The sequence below is a fragment of the Homo sapiens genome, chromosome 6, assembly GCF_000001405.40.
Source record: "Homo sapiens chromosome 6, GRCh38.p14 Primary Assembly".
Taxonomy (NCBI): domain Eukaryota; kingdom Metazoa; phylum Chordata; class Mammalia; order Primates; family Hominidae; genus Homo; species Homo sapiens.
The window spans coordinates 17,461,550-17,478,820 of NC_000006.12; the positions used below are offsets into that span (position 1 = coordinate 17,461,550).

The window sequence follows — 17,271 nt, forward strand, 5'->3', positions numbered from 1 at the left end:
TAAAAAAAAACTATTCCAAGTCAGTATGCTTTATCTTACAAGAATAACTGCATGAATTTTCTTAAAAACTAGAAAAAAATGCCAAAATGGTTAATCCTGGGTGATCTGGATATTTTTTCTTGGTACACTTCTGTAATTTTTTTAATTTAAAAAATTAACAAGGCCAGGCGTGGTGGCTCACACCTGTGATCCCAGCACTTTGGGAGGCCAAGGTGGGCGGATCATGAGGTCAGGAGATCGAGACCATCCTGGCGAACACTGTGAAACCCCGTCTCTACTAAAAATACAAAAAAATTAGCCAGGCGTGGTGGCGGGCGCCTGTAGTCCCAGCTACTCGGGGGGCTGAGGCAGGAGAATGGCATGAACCTGGGGGGCGGAGCTTGCAGTGAGCTGAGATCGCACCATTGCACTCCAGCCTGGGCAACAGGGCGAGACTCCGTCTCAAAAAAAAAAAAAAAAAAAAAAAAAAAAAAATTAACATAACAAAAAAAGAAAAAAGAACCAAAAAAACCCACAAAAATTAACAAATTAGTTGAATGAGTCAAGGGTGAAGGTAAGAGAATATGTGTTTGAGGCCATTCCTGCTTACACGTCTCCTTGTGGGGTGTTGAGTCCAGGTGGGGCCCCCTCTACCAGGGCCCAAATGGCACTGACATCTCTCCTGGGCCCATCTTAATGATTAGAAGCCACTGGCTTTCAGTGAGCATATCTAAATGGTGATGGCTTAAGGGACAATTCTCTTTCCTCTAGAAGGTGTAGAATAGAATGTGGGCACAGTGTGAAAGAGGGTAAGAGAGAGACAGGCTTTGAAAACAAGTGCACTTTGGGGCTCAAACATTTTTTAACAGCTTTATTGAAATATAATTCACATGTCATAATATTCATCTTTTTGAAGTGTATGATTCAGTATATTCACCAAGTTTTGAAACCATCATCACTATTTCCCGAACATTTTCACCACCCCCAAAAGAAACCCCATACCCATTAGCAGTTCACTCCCCATTCCTCCCTCCCAGCAGCCCCAGCACCCACTGCTCTGTAGTGGTTTCTGTCTCTATAGATTTGCTTCTCCTGGACATTTTATATAAATGGGATCATACAAATGTACTCTTTTGCGACTGACTTCATTCACTCAGCGTAATGTTTTCAAGGGTCACCTATGTCGTAGCAGGTGTCAGTACCTTGTCTCTTTTTCATGCTGAATAATATTCTGTGGTATGGATATATCACATTTTGTTTATTGGTTCATGAGTTGATGGATATTCGGGTTGTTCCCATGTTTTGGTTATTATATGATGCTGTTACGAACATTCATTTACAAGTTTTTGTGTGAAGATATATTTTCATTTTTCTTGGGTATATACCTACGGGTGGAATTGCCAGATTATATGGTAACAATTTTTAGGAGTCAAACATTGAAACTGCCATCTTCCTCTTTGTTCCCAGGCAGAAATGGTGCACAGTGCTTTCCAGGCCCAGCGGGCTTTCCTTCTGATGGCCTCTCAGTACCAACAACCCCACGAGGTAAGAGAGTGTCCTGAGAGGGAAGGTGTCCCAGGGTATGCGCAGTGTAAGATGGAAAACAAGGAGGCAACAGAAGCATTTATTATAGTCGACCTCCTAAAAATGAGACTTACAGCACGTGTATGTTCTGTCTCTAATCTGGATCATGGTATAGAACAATTCTTCTCTCTCCTAATCTCATTAATAGTAGACAAGTTTTTTTTTTTTAAGTATGCCATTTGCGAAAAAAAAAAGAAAGAAAAAAAGCAATGTGTCTTCTTACTACTAATATATCATTATGGCCAAATTCTTACTGTAACAAATGGACATTACCAGTTTAAAAGGTGAGTTGACTTGTGTGATCTTTATACTAGTCTCACAACCTTTTTATAATCAAGGAAATGTTTATAACTAATTTTTAGCTCAGATTTTGAGCTGCTTTGTTACCAAAGACTGTTCACATCTATGATCATCTCTAACCTCCATGTATGGATTTTATTAGCTCCTATTTCCTAAGTAGCGTAGATGGGCTAAATTGGTGGTTAAGTGTTTTGTGTTTATGGGTCGTCTACGGAGCTTCATTGCAGTTTCTGGTTCATCAGGCCTGGATTGTGTCCCAAGATTCTGCTTTTTAATAAGCTCCTGCGTGATGCCCATGCTGCTGATCCTCATTCTCAAAACACCAAAATTGGAAAGAGTTTTCATGACTCTATAAGAACTTAGGTATAGTCCATCTCGCCTTTCTCTTCCACCATAAATATGAATGAACTTTTCTTAGGTTAAAGATATTTAGAGGTGTTAGAGGATCTGATGCTAACTGCAACAATATTACCAATGTAGTAATTTTAACAACTTTTAATCTATTGTAAAATTACCAAGTAAGGCCCATGGTAAATTTTAATACAGAAGGAATCAAATTGTGAGAACAGATGTTAAGAGCAAATTAATGGTTGGCGGAGGTCCGTCTCATTCCCCAGGCCCTGAAAATTTTCGATTCTCTAAACCAAAGCGTGATCACCACCTGCCCAAACTACTGACATTGTATCATGCAAATAACTGCATTCCCTCTACCAAGGGTTCATAATAACAACTTTTGACAATGCTGATTGTGTCACGAATGAAATTATTCATTAAAAAGTAGTGGCACTACCAGCATACTTTGTTTTATCAGAAAAAAATAAAAATTGTTATTTTGGCTAAATATTCTGCATCCGAAGTTTAAGAACATTTATATAAATAAAAAATAAATTGAGCATATGTTATGACACAATAGCTTAAATGTAATAACTCACTTTGAATTATGAAACAAACTCCTGAAATTGAAAATTTTGAGCTAAGAATCCTGGGAATCCAGAACTTTGACCTTCAGGGGATGACACTCAGCTCCATAAAGAGGCAAGACCAGAGACCTGAGACCCTCCCTGGAACGGACATTCCCAGCCATGCTTGTGCAGTAGAATCACCTGCAAAATTTTAAAAAATACCAGTACCTGGGTCCCAACCCAAGGGACTGTGACTTCATTGGTCTGAGGAGTGGCCTGTGCTTTGAGATTTCTATGGGCTTCACGGGTGATTCTGACTTTCAACCAGAGCTGTCAGCCCCCACCCAAGATGGATATATCACCTCCCTCCACGTGAAAGGAGTTAGCTCACAGCCTAGGTAGGAGGCTCTGTAGAGATGAAAATATTCCGTGTTCCACCATGGATGCATTTTCCTCCTTGCTCTTCTCAATCTCTGCTTTGCAGAAGAGCAAAATGAAACTGGGAAATCACAAAGCGATGTGTTGTAGATTCAGCCTTAGCCTGCCTTTTCTGTGAAGTGGGAGGAGAGGTGGTCCAATTGAGATTCTCAGGTAGAAGAAGAACTGTGACTTTCCTCACTGGGTTACCACTCCATCCCTTCCCTAAGCCTCAGAACAAGAGGCCTCTCCAATGGCTTTGCAGGCCTTAGACAAAAAAGCCACTCACTAAATATTGAATGAAAATGTAAGTGAATGAACAATGGATGAATGCATTGGGTCTGTGGCATTCCAGCATGAGCCATAGTCAGGGACACTGTGTGGCCTAGCATGTGGCTGTGCAGATTCTTGGGTCATATCTACAGTTTCCCTTTCTTACTCTACTGCATTCTTTTTTTTCTTTTCTTTCTTTAAAGATGGGTTCTTGCTCTTGCTCTGTCACCAAGGCTAGAGTGCAGTGGTGCAATCCTAACTCATTGTAGTCTCAAATTCATGGCCTCAAGTGATCCTCCCACCTCAGCCTCCTGAGTTGTTATTACAGGCATGAACCGCTGTGCCTGGCTCTATTGAATTCTTGATAAAGGGGAGGGAAACTGGTTCCCAGGGAGGCATGCACTGGAAACGTCTGGCAGCACTTACCACAGTGCTCCATGTGCAATAAGGCCTGGACCAGGACCAGGAAAATGCAGAGCAGGCTTATGATGCCTACCTCCCTTCCTGGCCCTTCTCTCTACTTCCCTTTCCTCTTTATTCAGAACACCGTCCTACTACTTCCACCTGACAGAAAAGCAGACCTGAGTGATCACCACGTGTTGTTCAGAACCCCTGTCCACTCCAGTGGGGATGGTACAGGCTCAAGAGGCTGAAGAAGAGACCCAGAACCAGCAGAAAAGACCTGAAGTTTATTGGGGACTTGCATACAGGGGAGAGAGTCCAGTAGCAGAGGGCTGGACAGGAGAACTACAACCACTTGCGAAAGGCGTGTAATTTATATAGCATTTTCATGTAACATCCTCCCTCTAACAACCTCCACCTGGTAACCTTCATTTAACCTAAAACAAAAGGCCTCCCTCCCCCATATGGCCAGTGTTCCACAGCGTTCCCTGGGAAGCCCCAGGGGCTCAAATGTTCCTCATAGAAGAGCAATGGATCTCCAGGTTGGCCACTCCCAGATTCCTTAGTTGCAGACTCTGAACACACATTCAGGTGGATCTGCCGTACAAGATCACTCTCAGGGTATGCTCAAGTCATTGCTGTCAACTGCGTCTGTCATACACAATCGCCACAGTGGTGAAAACAGTCTATGGCCAGACCTTGATCCACCCAGTATGCATTCTAGAAGATGCATCTTAAAGATCAGTATCATAATGCAGATCGTATTTTCTCATAGGAACAATTATTATAACCATTTGTGTCTTACTGTCCTCCTTCTTTCAGGAGGAAGAGAATTAACTGCTGTAATTTCAGCTCTCAGTGACATACAACAGTGATTCTCCAACTTTAGCGTGCATGACAGTTCCCTGGAGGGTTGTCAGAACTCAGACTGCTGGGCCCCACTTACAGAGCTTCCAATTCAGTAGGTCTTGGTTGAGTCCCAAGACTCTGCGGTTCTAAAATGTTCCCAGGTGATGTGATACTCCTCGTCCAGAGACCACACTTTGGATCCTGTGCTGTATGGATGGCTCTCACTGTTACAATTGAAGCTCAGATTTATTTCAGGTGCTTCAGAATTTCATTTCCAACGGTCTCTAGACCACTGCTTCTCAAACTTCAGTATTCATTTGAATCATCTGGAGATCTTGTTAAAGTGCAGAGTCTGATTCAGTTGGTCTCAAGTGGGGTGCAAGAGTCTGTAGTTCTAACAGGCTCCCCGGCGATGCTGGTGCTGCTGATTTCTCACTACACATTGAGCAGCAAGACTTTAGTCATTGCCATCCACAATCCCAACAAGCACAGAATCCCTTGGTAGTCAAATCTCGAATTCATATTCTCTTCTCCTACCATTTCTGTAGCAAAGTAGGCCGTGTTATGCTGCAGTAACAAACATCTCTAAAATCTTAGTGATGGACAACTGCAGAGGTTTATTTCTTGTGCGCACTATATAGCTATCTGTTGCAAGTCAGCTTAGTATCTAGTAGATGAGTTACTAAATAATGACTCATATAATTATTTACTTAGTGTTGTAACAGGGCTCTGAGAGAAAAGAGTATAGAATTAATCTTTAATAGGAGTTTTGGGCATTGGGGAGGGAAGATCTTTCAGGGCTGGAGAACCTTCCAGGGAGTCCCTTGGATCCTGCTAATGAATGCAAGTGACCACTCTTGCTGCCACAGCATAAGGCAAAACTAAACCAACATGAGTGGTCGGTTGTGGCTCACGTCAGCCTTGTGAGACCCTGAGAGAGAACCTAGCTCTGCCTTGGCCCAGAATTCTGATCTACAGAAACTGTGAGATGATAAATGGATATTGTTTTAAGCCACTGAGTTTGTGGTAATTTGTAACACAGCAATAGAAAACTAATAGGGATTCTCTCAATTCCCTTGTTGCTGAACTCTAAGGTAATGAATTTTTAAAAACTTTTTGTGGGTACATAGTAGGCATATGTATTTATGGGGTTCATGAAATGATTCGATACAGGCATGCTATACATAATAACCACATCACGGGGAATGGGGTATCCATCCCCTCAAATATTTATCCTTTGTGTTGCAAGCAACCCAATTATACTCTTAACGTTTGTTTGTTTTTTTGGGACGGAATCTTGCTCTGTCACCCAGGCTGGAGTGCAGTGGCGCTACCTTGGCTCACGGCAACTTCAGCCTCCTAGCTTCAAGCAATTCTCCTGCCTCAGCCTCCTGAGTAGCTGGGATTATAGGCACACGCCACCACACCAAGCTAATTTTTCTATTTTTTAGAAGAGATGAGGTTTCACTATGTTGGTCAGGCTGGTCTTGAACTCCTGAACTCGTGATCCGCCCGCCTCGGCCTCCCAAAGTGCTGGAATTACAGGCATGAGCCACAGCACCCGGCCTACTCTTCGTTATTTTAAAATGTGCAATTATTATTGACTACAGTCACCCTGTTATGCTATCAAATAGTAGGCCTTATTCATTCTTTCTAACTACTATTTTCTTACCCATTAACCATCCCCACCTCCCCGCCTCAGCTCCCCCACTACCCTTCCCAGCCTTTGGTAACCATCCTTCTACTCTGTATGTCAATGATTTCAATTATTTTAATTTTTAGATCCCATAAATAAGTGAGAACATGCAATGTTTGCCTTTCTGTGCCTGGCTTATTTCACGTAACATAACAATCTCCAGTTCTATCCATGTTGAATTTTTTTTTTTAATAAGACCACAGGCCATAGACCACAATGTGCCCTTCAGTTCCTCCACCTTCACCCTTCCATCTATCCTGGCAGAAGCCGGATAAAGGATTCATTGACAGCCCTGATTGACAATGGTGACCCCCAATTTCAAATTTCCTTTCTCACTTTGGCAATGAGGAAACAGGTCTCTTGCATTCTCTAATACTAGGACATTTCAACATTTCAGCCTTGACCCACAGAAAAAAGGATATTTTACTTTACCACCCAGTTTCACAAAACAGTATTCTTACCATGTGCGCTGCATTCTGACATTTTTCTTCTAGTCTATGCTGTGCTGTGGTCATCACCCACTGAACTGATCTTAAGATGCACTAGTGGTCACACCTTGCAGTTCAGAAGCACCTTTCTCATTGATTTATTACATGCTCATGACACAAAACACATTATAAAATATTTGCAAAGCATCTCAGCTTTTCTTGTCTCCCCTTGTTGTATTTTACATAAATAACCTTTGAGCAAAAGAATGGCCCAGTTCTTACAGCACTTCTTATAGTCTAGAATTTGTCAAGCCCATCCTCTTCCAGTTGATGGAAGGATTCTCACATGGAAAATGGCCAAGAAGCCCCCACCCTGGCTTGCTCAACTATTCATTTACTTTTACAGCAGGTGAGCATAGAGGAAGTATGTTATTTCTAGTTCTCAAACGTAAAAAACAATATTCAGTGATACATTAATAATCCAGCCCCAGGATGTAGACCTGGACCCATTCCTTTATTCACTGTCCAGAGTCCTTTTTGCAGACCCTACATGTAAGAGCCACACTACACGTCATTTATAAGAGTTGTATGTCAAAATAAAATTGTAGAAAGTGTTGAGTTGACATGAACAAGTGTTTTTTGGCCTGAGGCCACCTCACCTCACCTCACCTGGGAGAGATGAGAAAACAAGAGTGTTAACAATTTTAACCATGGGTGACTCCAAAACTCTCGCCCGAGCTGCAGAGGTAACCTTTTGTAAACCACGCATCTGATGCCTTGATGGGCACCACCCCAAGGAAGACTATCATTCGGGGAATTCCTGGGAGGTCTCCCACTGATGTCCCACCAGTCTAACCCTGAGTAGTTTGCAGGAGCAGAAGAGAAGCACCCGGAGGGTGGAGAACTATAGCTGAGGGGCCATAAGTACAGCAGGCTTTCTGCTGCCTTCACACTTTCCCTATTTTCTCCAGCATTTCTCGTGCTGCTAAGACCTGACAGTGAAATGATCTCTGTGTGTGTGTGTGTCTGTGTGTGTCTGTGTGTGTGTGTGTGTCTGTGTGTGTGTGTATTTGCATGGAATCAATATGTACCTGCACATAGAGAAAAAATTAATCTTAAGTTTTTCAACTTCAGGGAAGATGATTTATGGTCATTGGCTGCCTGGTAGGTTTTATTCTATCTAGGAAGTCTGAGTTCTGTATTCCTCCATAAGGGGGAGAGAGAGAGACAGAGAGCGCGTTTCTACTATCCTCCCTCTCGTTTTCTTGTCTTTATTTGAACTTGTACTTTAAAGGGAAATAGTGCCTTCCTGTGCATAAAGCAGGCATCTAAAACTGATTCTCTTTCCTTTCATTGTTTATACAATCTGAAAAATTAGATGGAGAAGGAAGGTTAGTGAACCTTCTTGGCCGTTCCTCCATCTCTGAGTGAATGCACATGCCCAGCACAGTCCTCCGCTCAGCACTTTCTCCATAAGGATTTTCTAAGGCATGGAGCAGTCATCAAATTTGTTAATAATTTGTTCACATTAAACTAAGCAAAAAAGCCTAGCGGCAGTGATCTTAGGACTTAAGCTAATTATTTAGATGCATGAGAGATCCAGATTATTAGTGGGCATAAATATGTTCAGGATTTTAATAAAACATATTAATTTGTGAGGGTTGTCAAGAGCAGAAACTTTGGACTTGGGCCTACTTGGATTTGAATTTCACATTTTCTACTCATTAGCTCTGCTAATCCAAATGCGAGAAAAACGAATTCATCTATGTCTTCTAAGTTTGAGAATCTTCTATCTTTTTCTCGGTATCTACTGGAGAATTAACTTGGTAATCCACTGACCCACTCTAACCAAACCAACTTGTCAAGTTACCCACTTGGGGGAAGGCAGTTAAACTTTCTAAGCCCGTGTTTTCTTGTCTTTAAAATAGGGATAACAAATAATTCCTATCTCAAAGGGTTATTGTGAGGATTAAATGAGAAAAAGCAGGCGAGGGTCATGTGACTGACTAGAAAAGTTCATTATTAGTCAGTGTTGTCTGACTGCTTTAGCAAAAAGTCCCCAAATCTCAAAGGCTTAACAGAAGAGATTTTTTTTCTTGTTCACATAAGGTCTGCTCCAGTGTTTTTGGTTGCCATTCTTCCACATGGTAGTTCAGGGTCCAGGCTTCTTCCATCTTGGGGCACCCAACTCCTCTAATTCCTCAGCCATTGAATTGGAAAAGAGAATGCAGGAAGGTTTTATGGGCTGGGCTTGGAAATGGCCTATGTCACCTCACCTTCATTCAGTCTTCTGGTCATTCCTAGCTGCAAAGGAGACTGGGGAATTTAACCCACCTCTATGCCTGGAAGGAAGAAGTAACAGATTTGGTGAGCATTTGGCCAGTCCACCAGAGTGAGTCACTTGGTTTGGCTAAAATGAGCTCTTTCTCTGTGGAAATGTATTGTCTTTCCAAAAACTCATAGGGATTTTCCAGACTAATACCCCATTTCTCTAGCTGTCCAGGGAAAGACAAGAAAGACTTTGAAATCTAACAGCTGAATTTTTATTGCACTTGGGTATAAATAGATGTATCTATGTATGTATGCGATATTTCAAAATTTCTTTTAACTACAGTGAGTTTATACTTTTTCCCTATAAAATGTTTTACCATAACGATAAGGTGTCAAGTTATTGTCCAGTATTTTAAAATGCCAAACAAAGTAATCATGTGACTGATCTCAGAGCATACCTTGGGTAAATTACTTGGTGCTAGTGGCAGGTCTAGAAATTGCAAAGGAAAAGCAAACGAAGGAACACAGAGCCAAACTCCCAAGTGTTTCTTAAGTCCATGCCCAGAAAATGTCATAGCATTGCTCAATCAGAATTGCTGAATCTTCCTGAAAGATTTGGCCATGATTAGTGCTGCTAAGTTCTGTTGTCAAGGGCCATATGACAGATAACATAATGCAATAAAGTAATTCTGGCCCTAATGTAAAATGAAATGTCTATTTTGAAATATTGCTATGAAGTTGGGTTTTTCTTAATACAAAGGCATGAAGAAAATATTCTGTTGAGTAACTACTGTTAATTATATGTGCACAGCAAGGATTTTTAATGGGTTTTTAAATATCGGTTTCATTGATCTTGGAAGTAGAAAAAAGCTACAAGAGAAGTAAAAGGTAAAAAAGTTAGGCCGGGCACGGTGGCTCAAGCCTGTAATCCCAGCACTTTGGGAGTCCGAGGCGGGCGGATCGCGAGGTCAGGAGATCGAGACCATCCTGGCTAACACAGTGAAACCCGTCTCTACTAAAAATACAAAAATTTAGCCAGGCATAGTGGCGGGTGCCTGTAGTCCCAGCTACTCAGGAGGCTGAGGCAGGAGAATGGCATGAACCCGGGAGGTGGAGCTTGCAGTGAGCCGAGATTGCGCCACTGCACTCCAGCCTGGGCAACAGAGCCAGACTCCGTCTCAAAAAAAAAAAAAAAGGTTTCATTCTTTGTATCACGCTTAGTTATGTTTCAGTTTAGCCATTTAGCCGTGGTATTTCCCAGTGGTCTGGATTGACAGTTTCAGGAAGGAGTAGCACCTTAGAATCTAAACCAGTGACTCACTTTATGAGCTTTTCCAAATTACCTCGATAGTCTCACTTCATAAATATGCGTAAGTTTCTGCTCTGTTAATAGTGCTGAATGGGCCGGGCGCGGTGGCTCACGCCTGTAATCCCAGCACTTTGGGAGGCCGAGGCGGGCGGATCACGAGGTCAGGAGATCGAGACCATCCCGGCTAAAATGGTGAAACCCCGTCTCTACTAAAAATACAAAAAATTAGCCGGGCGTAGTGGCGGGCGCCTGTAGTCCCAGCTACTTGGGAGGCTGAGGCAGGAGAATGGCGTGAACCCGGGAGGCGGAGCTTGCAGTGAGCCGAGATCCCGCCACTGCACTCCAGCCTGGGCGACAGAGCGAGACTCCGTCTCAAAAAAAAAAAAAAAAAAAATAGTGCTGAATGGGTTGGCTCTCTTCACTACCAACACAAAAGCACCCAAAGGCAATATATGCTTTTAATTTCTGGAGAAGTGTATTAGTTTAAGTTCAACTAAAATATCTGCTTAAATATAATTTATGTAGTATAGGTAAAAACCAATTGCATTCTGATACTTACAAGATTGCTTTTATGTAAACAGCAGCTTTCTGAGTAGCAGAAGGTGGAGAAGTGAGGCAAAAAGAAGGCTTTTTTCCTTTTCCTATGAGCCTTCCAATGGCAAGAGAATTACCTTGGTAATTACATGGTGGCTAGCATGTGACGGCTACTGCCCGTGCTGGATGTAGATGCTGGTTAACACACAATAAAACACCAAGGAAGGAAGGAGAGGCAGGGGTTTGTGTGATATCATCAGGGTTTGCTTGAGTTGACAGCCTGAAGCTACCCAGTCAGGGCTGAATCCCAACAGGAAAGCTAATCATTAGTTTATCAGGATGCAGAGAGGGAGGTAATCAGAAAAGAGAGTAATTCTGTCATTCTTCTGCCCAGACTGTTTGCTTTAGCAACATAAAGCTGTGGGTGAGCCTGTGAGCTGTGACTATGAGTTGGTAGCTTTATAGGTATTTAGAAACCCAGGACTGTGGAGGCAGAAGGGATTTGCTAAGATCCTGTCCTGTTGGAACATCACTCATGGTGACCTTTTTTTTTTTTTAATCTGATAAGGCACATTAGCTCATCTCTCTTTGTATAAGACATGAATTAGATAATGAATGGCTGCCCAAAGGAAGTGAGGTGGTTATCACACCCTGGGGATTCAAGAGATTATCTGAGGGGTAAAGGTTAATAAAGAAGGATAATATCCTTTGTTTGATCAACTGTTCCATACTAAGTTCGTTAGAATTCCAGACTGCCTTGATGGCAAATGCTACATAAATGATAAAACTGTGTATGTACTAATATTTGACTAGGGAATTTTTTATTCTCCATTTAGTTAAATATTGAGGTCACTTTGTGTTTTTAATAAAATAATTATCAACGATCTATCATTTTACACTGTGAAGCTCAATATTTGCTTGCTTAGCCACCATCAATCTGATATAAAAAGTGTAAGAGTTGCAAGTTTTTCTCTCATGACCTGAATCAAAAAGTAATTTAGAAAGAGGTCACTGTGTCATTCAACAAATCTTTTTAAAAGCCAAACATATTTTGACCTTTTATTTGGATTTGCTACTTGTTAATTGTTTCAGCAGCCTTAACTTAGATCCTCTTTGCAGAACATAGCTTCTGTCATCTGTACAAAGCTGTATATGTGAAAATTGAAGGCAAGGAGAAGGTAATTCCAGCTGGCATTCCAGTCTGGATCTGCTGTCATAAATTACTTAGCAGAGGGCATGGTTCGTTACTTTTTATGGTCATGTTCTATATTTGTATGTGCTGGGGGGTGGATCACATGACAAAACCATCATTTGATATTAGTGTTTATGTGCACCAACCAGTGAGGGCTCGATTGAAGCTTCACTGTGCAGTACTTTTAATTTGTATATTTAGCTCTTAATTGAAAATGCAGGCACTTCCATAAGTACTAAAACTACAAATAATCTAAATAAATTTTATATAATTGTCTTTAGGAGAAGACAAACTGCTGTAAACCAAGCTAATTGAAATACACTCTGCCTTCCAGAGATTTGAAAACAAAATTTTGAACTAGCTAGTCAACATTGCCAGAATAATAAAGACCAAAGTTTACCATTTTCCATTTTTTAGCCCCTCCCCTGATTAGCTGATGTCTGTTTATTTAAGAGGAAAGACATTTTTCAAACTAATCAAGACAGAGGAAAAAAACAGTCTTTTTTTTTTTTTTTTTTTTTTTTTGTTCTATTCTCCAAATCCGTTCCCCTAGTGCAGCTTCATGCTTAAGTTTATAGTGGCAAACACCTCGAAAATGTCCTTCTTGTTTGATATTTTTTTCCCATAACTAAACAGGAAAAAAAAAATGGGCATGTCAGGTTTTGGTTCATCCACTGCTTTGAGAACTAGTGTTTCCATATCTGGAATCGTTTGTTAGATAAATTTGCCTGTAAGTAGTTGCTTCAGATCTTTGTCAGGCCTTGTTCATCTTACATACTGCAGCCCTCTTTAATTTCCTCAACTCCATTAATTTATTTTTCAGGCTTTTCTTTCACTAAGTATTTATCGCATGCCTACTCTATAGTAGTCAGAGCACTTAGCACGTCTGCATCTATTATTTCATTTGTATGAGAACATACTTTGGAAAATAAGGTCGGGATGATGTTATTTGAACTTCCTCAGCACCTATGTAGTAGTCTCTGTCAAACAACAAGTAACTTCTGAAATAACTGTTATTTTAGAAACACTTCTACTGTTATTTTTTTGTGCATATTTTCCATCCCCTCAACAAGATTTGCAGAGCCTCAGGGATCTTTAGAGTTGATATCTCTTTGCTTTTCTGACATATTGTGGTCTTCACAATATTTTTTATTAGATGCCAAGTTTGATGAGAAGAGAGGCTCGGGTTCCGAGTCACTTGTTTTGTTTGAGGAATAAAAGCTAGGTTCGGCCAGGCACAGTAACTCACACCTGCAATCCCAGCACTTTGGGAGGCCGAGGCGGGCGGATCACAAGGTCAGGAGTTTGAGACCAGCCTGACCAACATAGTGAAACCCCGTCTCTACTAAAAATACAAAAATTAGCTGGATGTGGTGACGTGCGCCTGTAATCCCAGCTACTCAGGAGGCTGAGGCAGGAGAATCACTTGAACCTGGGAGGCGGAGGTTGCAGTGAGCTGAGATCGCACCACTGCACTTCAGCCTGCGCAGCAGAGCAAGACTCCATCTCAAAAAAAAAAAAAAAGAAAGAAAAGCTAGGTTCATGGATTACAGTGGTTCAGGGAAGGGAACTGAGTGAAGGAGGGACATTGTCGTTTGGTGATGCTGTTATCTTTTACTGAAAAGGAACTTGATATTTGGAGGTGTATTTGGTAAGGACTTAGTTATCAATTGACAGCATAACTGGTAACATGTAAGTCCTGGATCAGCCTTGAAAGAGTATTCCTTATGGGAAATGGGAAGATTAGAGAAGAACAAGCGAGATAGTGTTGGTGAGGCATTTCATTTCAAAGGTTTGTTTCTCTTACACCCCCTTTTACTAAATGAATGCCTTGGAAGGGACCACGGAATGGTTCATTTCTAGATGTGTGGCGCTAACGATGAGAAATGACGGCAACCAGATTTGGGTGACAGATGTCGCTCAAGCCTTCAATGATTATAGAATATAGGTTCTGGGAAGAATGTGCTGATTAAATTCACATGGGCTGTGGAGATCCAGCTGGCCTGATATTTAAATGCTGCTGAAAAATGTTCCAATTAGATGGATTCTTCCCTGTGCAGAGTTTTCATGTAAATTGTGGAAAACGGTACTTTCTTCAGGCAATGAAATTGTTGTGAATGTCCAATGTCAGTCCTCTGAAGATGGTAATTATGCAGCTTGAACTACAGAAACTGCAGCGCAGAAGAACTTCAGGGTTTATCCTGTCTCTGTGCAGATGGAATCTCTATATAGAATAATGACCAACACATCACACAAATTGGATTTAAATGACTTGAACAACAGGAGTCCCATCATTTTCTTTGGCTGAATATCCTATAGTTGAATGTGTACAGGATTCCTCTTGGATAGTCATAATTGGATTATATTTCCCATACGAGCAGGGTTGTAATTTGAAGCTTCATATTTTACCAGCTTGACAGCAAATTAAGCACAGACAGGACAAACTATACATCATACAAACCAAGATACAACTAAAATCTTTCTGATTATTTAAAATGGGAAAATGTGGCTCCATGTCCTGTAAAGTGGTTAAAATACAGTGTTTACGTTGATTATAAGAGTTGCTAATGAATTCTAACTGCAGTACAGCTCATAAAAAAGTCTATATCATAACTTACCTATCTGAAGCTGATGATGGATGGCCATAGTAAATAATCATCAATAATAATTTTATTTGACTCTTTAGAATTTGAAATGTCTTTTCATAGAAAAGCACTGGACCACCCATATTTTTAAAATGTTTTTTGTGATTAAGTGAGAGCTCTTGTCTTTTCCTCTCTTGACAGCATTTCTCTGGCCTGGACAGATATGTTCAAAATCATTCTGTAATTCTCTAATACCACGCTTGAGATTGGATTATCTTTTTCAGAAGTAACAATCAAAGAATCACAGCATTCTGAGGCTGTACCCAGGAGTGCACTGGGGAGGGCTCCCTTGGCACTGGTCTTTTCATTCAACTTTTCTTTGTTCTGCCATCTCCCAAGGCTTAAATGGGAAAAGGAGAAAGACGAGAACAACGGGAAGTATGTGAGGAGAGAGGATAGAGAAAGATAATCCTATCCCTGTGGCTTGTCAGTTAGAATGAGGGAGGGAGTTGTGAGCTGATCATGTGGCTATGCACCTTAGAACTTTTTCCCACAATACTTCTCTGAACTGCTTTGGTCTTATTTTCTTACTTCTTTTTTTTTTTTTTTTTTTTTTTTTGAGATGGAATCTCGCTCTGCTGCCCAGGCTGGAGTGCAGTGGCGCAATCTCGGCTCACTGCAACCTCTGCCTCTCGGGTTCAAGTGATCCTCCTGCCTCAGCCTCCCGAGTAGCTGGGACTACAGGTGTGTAGCCACTCCCAGCTAATTTTTTGTATTTTTAGTAGAGACGGGGTTTCACCATGTTGGCCAGAATGGTCTCAATCTCCTGACCTCAGGTGATCTGCCCGGCCTTTCGGCCTCCCAAAGTGCTGGGATTACAGGCGTGAGCCACCGTGCCCGGCCTTATTTTCTTCTTTCTTTCTCCATCTTTTGCAGCCTCCAAGGCAGGGAAGCTGAAGTGTAGGTGTTAATTAGTAGCAAGGCAGTAATGAAAAGAGTGTAACTGTGAGATGCAGGGCTGCCTGCGCTGTTACAGCATGTCATCCGGCCACTTTCATTTCCTTGACTTATTTTTGCACCTTTATTTTGAGTCAGGTTACCCTAAACTTAGTTGTTTCCTTTACATTGACTATCTGTGTCCAGTGCTCATAACGAGTGCTCAACAGGAGACAAAATGAATAAACCATCCAAAACCAGCCAGACCCCAGATATTTAAGATGATTAAGATCTTTTCCCAAGATCACTTATTAAATGAGTCTCTGAAAACCTCCTCTTGTCTTTCTGTCTGTGGAAAGTCAACCCTAATTACTTTTTACAGTAAGAGAAACTCAAGGAGTCTGGAAGAGGGTTTCCTCCCCATATTTAGGGGATGCACAGAGGAGATTCATACTTAACAAGATCATCATTGAAACCTCCCCATAATTATGTCCTGACCTATCGATTGCTTGTGAAAAAACTATTGTTCCCATGTATATAAGGAATAGCATAGATCTTTGTGATTAATTTTGGGGGAAGATCTATTTTTCTTGAAAAGAAACTGTGATTTAAATGTAATCCTGTCATTTAGGTTGTTTCATGTAACTGTTAGTTTCTTCTTAATGATTACAATTTTTAACTTTGCTTCTGTTCTTTGTTTAGTTGTTCAGGTATGTCCTAAACAGAGTTTTAACTTATATAATTACTAACTTTACTTCTTGCATTTTCCACTTTTCATATATATGAAATATATATAATATATATAAATATATTAATTATATATCATTAATAATAATTATGTATAATATATAAAATTTTATGTTGCTTGGGTCATAAACATTTACTCTTTTAGATAGGCTGTATCTATTGCAATCCTATAATGACCCCTCGGTTGCTTTTTTTCCTTGAGACAAGGTCTTGCTCTGTTACCCAAGCTGGAGTGCAGTAGCGTGATCTTAGCTAACTGCAACCACCGCCTCCCAGGCTCAAATGATCCTCCCGCCTCAGCCTCTCGAGTAGCTGGGACCACAGACGTGCACCACTACACCTACTTTTTTTTTTTTTTTTTTTTGTATTTTTAGTAGAGACAGGGTCTCACTAGGTTGGCCAGGCTGGTCTCAAACTCCTGAGCTTAAGCAATCCACCCGCCTCAGCCTCTCAAAGTGCTGAGATTACAGGCGTGAGTCACCGCACTGGGCCTCTCAATTACTTTTTATTCAGAATACTTTTTTAATCTGATAACATTATAAATATCCCTTTTCGTGTTGTTGTGACCTCCTACCTTCCCTAGGACCTTATCTAATCAATCATTTCCTTCTTTCTCTCCCTACTGGATCCTTCTGTTTAGTCTACAAGCCAAATGAGTTTTCTCTGTTTAAAAAAACCAAACCAAACAAAACAAAAACAACTTCCTTCACTGCCTAAAATGTCTCTGTCCTCCTCTTTACTGCCAGCCTTCTTAGGAACACTCTGTCCTCCCTGATGTCATGTCCTCACTTCCCTGTCACTTTTTAATCTCCTGTCCTCTGTCTTTCCTCCTTATCATTTGACCAAAAAAGACTTTCCCAGTGCCCT

General features: G+C 41.1%; 1 protein-coding gene across 3 annotated transcripts in view; it reads left to right on the top strand.

The window, feature by feature from the left end:
- Positions 1-17,271, top strand: part of CAP2 (cyclase associated actin cytoskeleton regulatory protein 2) — a 164,186-nt gene that overhangs the window by 67,955 nt on the left and 78,960 nt on the right. For 2 of the 3 annotated variants that reach the window (NM_006366.3, NM_001363533.2), the window contains exon 4: positions 1,447-1,524. The exons of the other annotated variant lie outside the window; for it this stretch is intronic. In NM_006366.3, the coding sequence (NP_006357.1) occupies positions 1,447-1,524 (78 nt within the window). The remainder of the gene's footprint in view (positions 1-1,446; positions 1,525-17,271) is intronic. 3 annotated transcript variants of the gene reach the window in all.